At 41.1% G+C, this 12,067-nt stretch overlaps 1 long non-coding RNA gene across 1 annotated transcript in view; it reads left to right on the top strand.

The window, feature by feature from the left end:
* Nucleotides 1-5,942: 5,942 nt before the first annotated feature.
* LOC107984402 (uncharacterized) overlaps nucleotides 5,943-12,067 on the top strand; it is a 37,164-nt gene continuing 31,039 nt past the window's right edge. Inside the window, exon 1 of the long non-coding RNA XR_007062925.1 lies at nucleotides 5,943-6,088. This is a non-coding gene — a long non-coding RNA (uncharacterized LOC107984402). The remainder of the gene's footprint in view (nucleotides 6,089-12,067) is intronic.

The following is a 12,067-nucleotide window of genomic DNA, read 5'->3' on the forward strand; positions in this document are numbered from 1 at the left end:
AGAATAGTTTGATCCTTTGAGGCTTGTTTTTGAAACGTTGTTAGGGTGGTTTTAGACTCTTAATTCTAGGGTGATTTCAGTGCCACAGTAAATAATGCCCTTTCTGCGGTCTCTGTAGAATTCTCCAACTGTTTTAATGAGAACTTTCACTTGTCTGGAGGGAATTTGAATGTCTCCCAGTTCTGTGTGAACGCTGGTAGCTATTCTTCAATTTATTGATTAATTGATTATTCTTTAGTTGTTATTCTTTACCCAGCCTTGTGTGATCTTATCCTATTCATTCACTGCTTAATATTCATACAAAACTTAAGGAGACTCCTTTCCAGATTTGTGGAACTTGTTTCTCAGCGTAATACCTTCTCCCAAGTACTCCAGCCTGCCTATTCCAGATATCCGAGCCTATCCAAACTTGGATATCTGTCTTTTTAACTTTGTAAGAACACTGCTCTGCTCACAAACCCACCTCTCAGTTTTATGCTCTGGAATGGGTGTCCAAGCAGAAAGAAAAGATAATTGTTAGGCTTACCTAATTTTATATCTTCTCATAAGGTTGCAGTCTATATGTGCACTATATTTGTGTCCTATATTTTGACCAATTTTATTGTTATTTAAAGTGAGAAAGCTAATCTGATGCCATTTACTTCATCATAGCCAAAAGCAGAAATCTCTGGTAGCAAGATTTTTAGAAGAATAGTTAGTCTGTGGCAAGGGCCACTAGTGTATATTCTTCTATGTCCTCAATTATTTTTACCGGTATAGAATTAACACTAACTTATGATTGTACCAGAGTTTAAATTTCTCTTGCAGTACTTTGAGGCTAATATCAGACATATTTTATTTGCACATATTTTACTGTATACCTTTAAAAGGACCCTTGAAAAATAACCATAGTTCTACTATCATAGCTAAAAATTTCAACAATAGTTCCTTAATACCATCAACTATCTAATGTTCAAATTTCCAATTGCTTCATAGGTGTCTTTTTTTTTACAGTTTCATAAATTTCAGAATTCAAACAAGATTCACAAAGTATAATTGTTGATTTGCCTTTTAAGCTTCTTTTAATATCCATGTTAACTTTCCATTTCTTTTGTTTTTATTTTGACATATATTGTTTTTGCAGAATCTAGGTGTTTGTCTTGTTTGTCCTGGGTGTTCCTCACTGTATGGATTTTGCTGATTGCATTTCTATCACTCTTACATGATATAGTTGCTGTGGCTTGAGTGTATCCCATCAAAAACTCATATTGAAATTTGATTTCCAATTGACGGTGTTGGAATATGGGGCCTGGTGGTAGGTTTTTGAATCATAGGGGCCTACCCTCATGAATTGATTACTGCTATGTCCTGGGAGTGAGTTCTCACTCTCTTAGAAATGGACTAGTTCCTGCCTGAGCGGGTTGTTATAAAGCAAGGCCAGCCTCTTGTGTGTGTCATTTTGCACATGCATCCTTCCCTTTCACTTCTCTGTTATTTTATGATGCAGCACAAGGCTGCCACCAGAGGCCACCAGATGTGGGCTCCAATCCTGAACTTTATACCCTGCAGAACCATGAGCTAAATACATCTCTTTTCTTTGTAAATCATCCAGTCTCAAGTTTTCTGTTATAGCAACACAAAATGAACTAAGTCAGTAGTTTAACATGTTCCTTTGTTAAGTGCTACTTGTAAATTGATAATTGATAATTGGAGCGAGAAGTAACAATTTTTTTTTTTTTTTTTTTTTTTTTGGAGACCAAGTCTCACTCTGTCACCCAGGCTGGAGTGCAGTGGTGCAATCTGGGCTCACTGTCTCCTGGGTTCAAATGATTCTCCTGCCTCAGCTTCCCAAGTAGCTGGGATTACAGGCGCCTGCCACCATGGCTGGCTAATTTTGTAGTTTTAGTAGAGACAGGGTTTCACCACGTTGGCCAGGCTGGTGTCAAACTCCTGACCTCAAGTGATCCACCTGCCTCAGCCTCCCAAAGTACTGGGATTACAGGCGTGAGCTACTGTGCCCAGTGAGAAGTAACAATTTATAATAATTTATGTTTCCATTCATGAACATATTGCCCTTTATTTTTTAAGTTCTAATTTTATTATCTGCACAGTTTTATGGGTTTTCTCAATTAATGAATTGGACATTTATTAGTTTTACTCTTTGGTTCTTTACGGTTTTTCTCTTGCTGTTGTGTTTAGCCTCCATTTTAACTTCCTGTGGTTAGTCAGTTTGCTATTGGCCTTGTGATTGTTGCACAAACCTCACTGTCCACATTCCTTCAAGGATTCAGAGGAATGGCTATATGAAACATTGGATACCCTGTTTGTGGTATGGAAATGCTTTTCGAAGGATTCCCCAAATAACCATGAAGGTCAAATAAATGCAATGTGCCCATTGCAGATGTCTGTGTGTTTGCATGCTCATGTGACCTTTGCTTGCGTTATTGTTGCTCGTTTAAGGCTTGAGATTTGTTAGTCTCCCTTTAGCCACTTATGCACAGAATTAACAGGTTCAGTCTGAGAGTCTAAGAGGTCTTTACAAAGTTTCGTTTCTGATCTTAAGCCAAGTAATTGCACTGCCCTGGATTCCATCAGAAGTTATGGAATCAGGCTCTGTCTTTCATTCCAAGGGTGGGTGAGCCACAACTGCCTGAACCTTTGTTTTCAAACAGAAATTACAATACCTATTTTGACCAAATCATGTGGTTGTTGTAAAGAACAAATGGATTGATGTATTTGAAATTGTTCTTTAATAGCACTGTCCAATACAAATATAATGAGCCACATATGTAATTTAAATTTTTCTAAACCACATTCAATAAAAGTGTGAAGAAACCAGTGAACTTAATTTTAATGATATATTTTATTTAACCCAACATAACTAAAATATTATCATTTCAAATATTAAGGAGATACTTTACATTCTCTTTTCTTTACTAAGTTTATGAAATCTGGCATATTTTACACTTACAGCATATCTCAATTTGGATGCTAACTTCTCATCAGAAATACTTGATACGTATTTAGATTGCATAATGTAGTTGATTAAATAGATTCACATCCCTAAATCTCCGCAAGCCTAAAAAGGTTTTCTGTAGCTGAATCGAATATCAGTTTTTAAATTTAAATTAATTAAAATGTAATAGAATTAGAAATTCAGTTCCTCAATCACATCAGCTACATTTCAGGTGCTTAATTCCTACAGCTGGCTTGTAGCTTCCATATTGGGCAGTGCTGCTGTATGAACTGATGAGTTCTATAGATGTGACTGCCTTTACTAAAGTTCTCAAATCTCAGTTAGATTTTACATGGTTTCACTTTGATCCTCCACATGAGATAAATGAATTTCCTTTGCTTTGACCTACAAAAGAATTTTCCAAGGAAAACCTCCCAGCTTTCCCGACAACTGGACAGCAGATTGCTTCCATTTCAGTCATCCAAATTTACTTTGTCTAAGAGTTGCTACACATTCTGGGAAATAAATACATCTCTAAGAGTGGAAGAAGGCTGACCAAAATAGAACGCTTTTAAAAAGCTGAAAAATCGATTCCTGGTAGTAATGCAATCTGGAGTACATGAAACGATTAGCACAGGGGAGCAGCCCACAGCGAGGTCAGGATCTATTCTGAGCCATGGAAAATCAAGCTCCATGTGACTTCGGTACATTACCAAGAGCAAACTATGATTCCAAGCAAGGCTAAACCCATCATCTCAGGGTGAGGTGCATTCTAGGGGGGGTCATCTCATACAGTTGGGACCTGCTAGCAGAAGTGAGTAAGGGCATCAGGGCAATGACCTAGGATACTCTACCTCAAAAAATTTTTTTTTAAGAATTCATCACAGAATGAATACTAGAGTATTTCTCTTCTTCTTCTAAGTGGAATAATAGAATAGGAATGTTTCACAGCTATTCCTTACCTCTCTAGGGGATCTTTTGAAAGAATCTGCTGCCTTCAGTCAGATTAGATGTTTTGAACAAATACGTACCTGGCACTCACCATGTTTCAGACATTGTTCTAAGCTTATTTTTTTCTTTTCTTTTTTTTTTTTTTTTTGAGACAGAGTCTCACTCTGTCGCCCAAGCTGGAGTGCAGTGGCATGATTTCACCTCACTGAAACCTCCATCTCCTGGGTTCACGCGATTCTTGTGCCTCAGCCTCCTGAGGAGCTGGAATTACAGGTGCCCGCCTCCACGTCCAGCTAATTTTTGTATTTTTAGTAGAGATGTAGCTTCAGAGATAGGGTTTCACCATGTTGGTCAGGCTGGTGTCAAACTCTTGACCTCGAGTGATCCACCCACCGCAGCCTTCCTAAGTGCTGGGATTACAGGTGTGAGCCATGTGTGTAAGGTTATTTAAATGAACTAATTTAACCCTTATGACAATCTTAAGAGAGACGTATTGTTATAATCCCCACTTTACAAATGAGGAAACTGAGGCAGAGAGAGGTTCAATAACTTGCACAAAATCACACTGCTGGTAAGTGATGGGAATGAACCCAAACACTCTAGGCTTTTCATCAATGGGTAAACCCTATGGCCTATGCTATGACTGAATACAGATCAGAGGCTAGCCGTGCACACCCAGAGCAGAGTACTGAGCCACGTATCCAGTCGCTACAGATTCAGACACCACCTTCTCTAATGAACTAGTGAAATCAGCAGAGAGCTCATAACCACATCTACTTTTACAACTGTGCCCTGAGCTTCTAGAATGCTTTCTATCTGCATGGCTTCCTGTCAAATGTAGCATCCTTCAAGGCTGAGCTCAAAAGAAAACTTCAATGGGTTTGGTTCCTTCAGAACCAAAATTACTTTTTTTCATCTTTCCCAACCTTTTACTATTTAATCTGGAATACTGTAGTTTTTCCAAAGCTGCCTTAAATTAAAGCAATGTCTTTCCTCTCCCAGTATCAAGCCCTGGGAGGACTGAAAGTGATTTTTTTTTTATTTTTGTATCCCTCACCTCACCTAGCATGGTGTTTTTCGCCTTCAAGGCACTCAGTAAATATTTATTAGCCTAATTTGACTGTAAATAAAATATATTGCAAAATGCACTGTAGTGGGTTTCAAGGAACTTGAGTTCCAGACTTAGTTTTGTCATCAATTAGCTGTATACATTTTGGCAATGTATGTAACCTCTGTGAGCCTTTGTTGTCTCATCTGTAATTGGATGTGATAATCTCTGAGGCCTCATGACCCTTATGGAATAGGCTATTCTTTGCTCTGAATTTTTGTATACAAAAGGTTTTTATTTTATTTATTATTATTATTATCATTATTGAGATGGAGTCTTGCTCTGTCACTCAGGCTGGAGTGCAGTGCTGCGATCTTGGCTCACTGCAAGCTCCGCCTCCTAGATTCACGCCATTCTCCTGCCTCAGCCTCCCAAGTAGCTGGGACTACAGGCGCCCACCACCATGCCGGGCTAATTTTTTATCTTTTTATTTTATTTTTTATTTTTAGTAGAGACGGGGTTTCACTGTGTTAGCCAGGATGGTCTCGATCTCTTGGCCTCGTGATCCGCCCGCCTCGGCCTCCCAAAGTGCTGGGATTACAGGCGTGAGCCAGCGCGCCCAGCCAAGGTTTTTAAACAAGTCCCTAAAGGGTGTTTCATATATTCTGAGATCACTCCCGGTAAAGACCCCCTGCTGAAAGAGAGTGGAAGGAGCATCCCACCACCTGGGGCAGTTGAAGCCCCTGAGTTGTGCTGTTTTAGGGAAGGTGATTGATGGTAAAGTAGAGAACACTGATAAATTACAAAGCATTCATCTAATCAAAATCAACCCATGGTGTTAAGTCTTGATGTAAAATAATACATTAAGAATTAGTGGAAAAGCTCTGAAATTGTTGACTCGATTTTCAAAATAGTTATTTTTCGGTAGGTAACAGATGCACAGCTTATAAAATTTAAAAGATTTTTTAATACTTTTGTTGGAAATACCGATTTTGTCTTTTTTTTCAGGTTATTTGGATGAAATGCTTATTTCTTTTTTAACATAAGCATTGACTGGAAATATTGGTTATTCTGTCTGATATTACATGAAGGTCAGATGCCCTCCATGCAACCATGAGGTCGGATGGCAGTTTGATGCTGAACCAGCAAACAAGGTAAGGGTGAAATTGTCATCTGCATTGTACAGAATGCGAAGCCAAGGCCTCGAAACAGGAGATAATTTAGACAAGGTCACCTAGAGGGATGCTGGAGGAACCGAGTTTGGAAAGCCAGCTAGCCTGACTGCCCATTCATCACGGACATTATCTTTCTTCTTGTCTTCCTGCTCAGCTTAGTTTATTTAAAAGGGAAGCACACTGCAGTTCTAGGGTCAGGCCAGGCCCGCCTGGTGGCTCAGCACCTGCCTGCAAAGGTAAGAAAGCCTCTCCAGCCGAGGCTTGTGAATGGTGTCAGGGAAGAGTCAGGTTCTCTTTGGAGAAGAGCCCGTTGGGATCTTTGTTCCCAAACAGGTCCCATTTCCTCATGTTTATTGAATTCTCTCAATCACATACTTGATCACTGGGTCCCAGGAAGGGGGGCTGGCTAAACTGAGAAAATGCAAAGTTGAACTTTATTTACTCTTGATAAGAGGACCAAAAGGAAGTTAACTTTTTACCCATTTTATTCTCAAAGCTATTGAAAGAATTATGAAATCTACTCGAGAGCAAACGTGGAGGTTATTCACAAAGGCGTTCATAATGAACTAATTTGCGGATCTTTTGCCCCTCTTTCACTTTCTGCAGAAATGAGAAGGATGACTTTTTTTCCTCTGTTTGTGGCTCTGCAGGCCGTCAGGGGACCCCACTCCTTTCTCCCTGCAGGCTTCCTCTGCCACTTGCTACTCCTTTGTACTCGTTCCACCTGGCAGTCTGAGGAACACAAACTAAAATGCAGGTATTGGTATCCCAATAAGAGGCTGTGAAGACAGTTCAAAAAGGGAAGTTTTGAGGCTGGGATTCTGGAGAAAGGCATTCATCTCCCGGTAGGCCCAAGTTCACTTCCTTCTCCACTACAGAACTGCCTCGATGCGTTTGAGAACATTCTGTCCTTATTGTGAATGCTGACTTGCTCCAATCAACACATTTCTTTAACTCCTTTAAAACCAGCTTGTTAGAGCTGTCTACAATGCCGTGAGGTTCCAACTTCCTCTGATTAATTAGGAGGCTCAGAAATGTGTGAGTATATTTTAGAAACTGTACTGTGGGTGCTTGTAGCAAGTTCACTTATTTAATATTTCATGGTGAGCTATTTTCTACTCTCCAGATAGATTGTGGGAAGGGGCCCTTTGCCAGCCATAAACATGTGTTTTAATCTCTAGTCCTTTTTGGCATGTGTTGCTGACCTACTTGCCTCAACTCCCTACCCTGTTTCCCTCCCCTTCAGCCAAATAAGAAGTGAATAAAGCAACAACATGGGAGAACCATTGTTCTTCAGACATGTACCAAAAGGGGGCACCGCTAAAATTATCTAGGCAACTTGGATCCCAGGCTCCCTTTGGAGAGGAAAGCTTTTGGGATATGTGCCATGATGATTTATTACAGGTGGCAAAAATACTTGTTATATAACACACCGCTGACATTTCTGCATCCCTGTTTTGCAGTAATGCTAAAGGCCAGCACATTCCAATCAACCTAGCCTGGGCTTGGGTGTTTCTTCATCTCCTCAGCTACCCATGTTCTGTTTACTCTCTAGGTGGCCAATCTAATCTACTTTATTTTGCATCTCATAATTTTATTGTCAGATGCAACCTTGTTCTGAAGTCTGGGACTGTCCTATGAATCTTTTCCAGTTTCCCCACGATAGTTCATTGATTCATTTACCCAATAAATATGTATTTGTAATTTCCATGTGAGGTGTTCTGTGTTCGAGAATGAATAAGACAGGCTGGGTGTGGTGGCTCACATCTGTAATCCCAGCACTTTGGGAGGCCGAGGTGGGTGGATCTCCTGAGGTCAGGAGTTCGAGACTAGCCTGGCCAACATGGTGAAACCCCGTCTCTACTAAAAATACAAAAATTAGCTGGGTGTGGTCACGCATGCCTGTAATCCCAGCTACTCAGGAGGCTGAGGCAGGAGAATCACTTGAACCTGGGAGGTGGAGGTTGCCGTCAGCTGAGTTCGCACCATCACACTCCAGCCTGGGGGACAAGAGTGAGACTTTTTCTCAAAAAAAAAAAAAAAAAAAAAAAAAAAAGAATGAATAAGACAGATACATCCCCTTCTTGCCTTTGGAGTGTCTTGTCTAACCTGGGAAATGATCTTTGAACAAAAAATTGTGAATGTGACTAGTGTCATGCTGATATTTAGGGAGCTTTAGGAACAAATTAGAAGAGACCTAACCTAGACTGCATATGAATCAAGAAAGGCATCCCTAACAAAGTGCCATTTAACATGAGACCTGAAGGGAAAGAATGAGCAAGGAAATGATTTCAGGTACTGAGGAATAACATATGTGAAAGTTCTGGAGTAGAAAGGTGTATGGCGTGTTTCAAGAAATAGAAGACCAGTGTGGCTAGAGCATAATCAAAGGTCATATGAATTTGGCATTTTATGTACCTGGCAATGTTCAAAGCAGTTTAATTTAGTTAACCTTCATAACAAGTCTATGATGAGAAAACTGAGAACTCAGAGAAGTTAAGTAACTTGCCCAAGGTCACAGAGCTAGGAAATTCCACATCTGGGCTGTGAGCCAAGACAATCTAGTTCCAACCCTGTCCTCTGAATGCAGCACTGAACTGCAGAGAGAGCAAAAGGACAGCAGATGAGGACCACATCACACAAATCAGAAAAAGAAGAGGAGGCCGGGCGCAGTGGCTCACGCCTGTAATCCCAGCACTTTGGGAGGCCGAGGCAGGCGGATCACGAGGTCAGGAGATCGAGACCATCCTGGCTAACACGGTGAAACCCTGTCTCTACTAAAAATACAAAAAATTAGCTGGGCTTGGTGGTGGGCGCCTGTAGTCCCAGCTACTCGGGAGGCTGAGGCAGGAGAATGGCATGAACCTGGGAGGCGGAGCTTGCAGTGAGCTGAGATAGCACCACTGCAGTCCGGCCTGGGGGAAAGAGCGAGACTCTATCATCTCAAAAAAAAAAAAAAAAAAAGAAAAAGAAGAGGAAAATCATTTAAGTAAAACATCTTGGACAGCACTGAAAGGGAAATACAGCATCCAAGTCTTTTAAATACTGACTTCCTTTTCTTTCTTCAAATGGAAAATTAGAGGAACCCACTGAGAGACTCGCTGTAGGCTAGGCACTGTGAGAAAAACAAGAAGCAGTCAAATTCATCCTCAACAGGTTAGTAAGGTCTACATAACTTCAAAGGACACAAGAGGTTAGTGTGTGATAGACAGCCGAAGGATTCATGGAGCAGGCTGCACTTGAAGTGGCCCTTATAGGGATAATTAAGATACAGCCTGGTGGAAGCAATGGAATGGTTTTAAGTCCATTGTCTATCCCTTTTGCATTCTTTCTTTTTTTCAGCATATACTTGTTATGTACCTCCTACATGCCTGGTCCTCTGCTAGGAGTTGAGGGTAAAGCAGTGAATTGGACAAATAAAATAGAAACCAGTATCCACAAGGGCACAGTGATGGGTAAGTCTGTGATTGTGGGTGATATTGAAGAAGACAGTCTGGTTGGCGCCAAGGGCTGTGTTGAGAATAAATAGGGCTAAGCTTTAGAGGTGGGTGATGAGGGTAGAGGAGATAAAGCAATTGACTGCTCAGATTTCTAACTGTCAGAATCAAGAATGGGAATTTCCGGCCTGATACAGTGGGTCATACCTGTAATCCCAGCACTTTGGGAGGCTGAGATGGGAGGATCGCTTGAATCTAGGGGTTTGAGATCAGCTTGAGCAAATACAGTAAGATTCCATCTTTAAAAAATAAATAATGGGGATTTTTTTTGTCTTATAGATAATGGAAAATGATTGCTAGTTTTTGAGTTGGGAAAAAAGTAATTAAAAGAGTTTCTGGAATGATTTGCCTGGCATCTGTGTGCAGGCTGTGCTAAACATAAGTATTAGTATGTGTTAAGCCAGGTAGAAGGAGTCTCCAGGAACAGAAAAGTAGGGTGAAATATTATTTACTCTTCTCACTTGTCCTGAATATGCTTTAAAATAAAAATGCTATGGATTAATAGGTTCTGTCATTCTTGAAGATTAAGATCAAACTAGTTTCTCTTGATTTCTAAAAGTAGACAGGACTTCTGGCTGATAGCATGAACTAGTTTTATTAACCAAAAACTGCCTTCAACTTGGCACCTCTTCAGCCAGAAACAAACATATTATTCACCCTGGACTGCCCTGAAAAGGGTAAGAGAAATGAATGTAATTTAAGGAGACCATCCTTAATTAAAGGAGCCACTTGGCAAATTCCAATGGCTGCCTTGTTTTGGCTGCATCTTTTTTTCCCCTAAACTTTTCTCTTCTTTTTTCATTTTAATACACTTTTCCCAATTGTCCTGTTGGAACCTTTACCACATTTGGGTTTTACCTGGTAAATTTTGATTTAATCTTTGGCGGACGCTGCTTCAGGTTGACTGTAATTCAGGGACTGGCATGTACGTTGTATCTTGGTGCCAGAGCATGTGGGGCAGCGGATGGCTCTGGAGCACTGAATGCACCCTGTTGTGTGGCTCCAAGTTCTCAAGATGCCTGTGCAGTGCCCTGGCATTTCACTGCAGCCAGAGGGGCAGCTGGGGTGGATTTCTTTTTTTTTTCCTGGCATTTGCAATTTAGGACCTACCTTCTCTAAGTATCCTCCCTGAGTGGGTTTTTCTGCACTCCACATGTATATTTTCACATTTTGCTGATTGGTAATATTTAATGTGTGGGTAGAAGTGCTGTGGCGATGAGTGCTTCCTATAGTCAGACAAATCAAAGCAAGAATGATTGTGCCATTTTAGTGAACAAATTGCTTTGTCCATTCTACCTCTTGCAGAGCTAAGAGGATGCAGTGCGTGCACGCGTGCACACACACACGCAAACACACGCTCTGTTCTTTGCCCTCAAGGATTTTTTTTTAATAGCACACCAGAGCTCTGGAATTGGCAGGGACTTTATAAATGATAAAATTTATCCCCATTCTTTATAGACAAGGAAATTGAGACCTAGACAGGAAAGAGGCATGTATGCCAAATGCCACAGAGCGAGCAGGGGGTGCAGAGATTAGAGTACAGATTCATGCTGTGGCCTAGGGTTCTCTGTATACTTCACCACCTAAAATTACCACACTTTTAAAAAGGAGGAAACCTGGACTTGCAAGATTGATAACTTGTAGTGTTGTATTTTAAAAGCAATGAATTTAGAAGAGTTTCACAGATATATTTCTTTTTTTTTTTCTTTTTTTTTTTGTTGAGTCTCACTGTGTTGTCCAGGTTGGAGGGCAGTGGTGTGATCATAGCTCACTGCAACCTAGACCACCCAGGCTCAAGCGATCCTCCCACTTCAGCCTCCTGAGTAGCTGGGACGACAGGTGCGTGCCACCCTGCCTGGTTAATTTTTATTTTTATTTGTAGAGACGAGGTCTTGTGATGTTGCCCAGGATGGTCTTGAACTCCTGGGTCCAAGAAATACTCCCACCTTGGCCTCCCAATGTGCTGTGATTATAGGCATTAGCCGTTGCACCCGGCCCTTAGAAAGGTCTTGAACTCAGGTCTCTGGACTACCAAACCAGAATCATCTTATGGGAGTGGCATGTGGGTGGTGTTTAGATGTGCTTGGAAAAGCAGTGGTGGAAAGAAAACCATTCAAATATTCTCCAAGCACCATACTCTGAGTCCTGAACCCCTTCAAGCCCTGACCTCACCATCCCCAGGAATTCTGCTGGCTGTATTTTTCTTAAACATTTTAAGAGACTGCAGACATCATGGCTCAGGGTCTGTTGAGATAGACTGCTGAATAGATATTCTGACACAGCCCTTCTGGTTATGGTAGTGATCATTCCCCTGGTACCATGTTGCCATGGTCAGAGTGCATTACAAGAGAAGGGTTGTCTTGAACCTGCAGCCTCCATCCTTCTCATTTGCAGAAGCCCCACTGCCTCGAAGAAAGAACTGCCCAGGGCCGCCCACTCTAGCACCTTGTTCTCATCTGTC

Source organism: Homo sapiens, chromosome 11 (assembly GCF_000001405.40).
Source record: "Homo sapiens chromosome 11, GRCh38.p14 Primary Assembly".
Taxonomy (NCBI): Eukaryota; Metazoa; Chordata; class Mammalia; order Primates; family Hominidae; genus Homo; species Homo sapiens.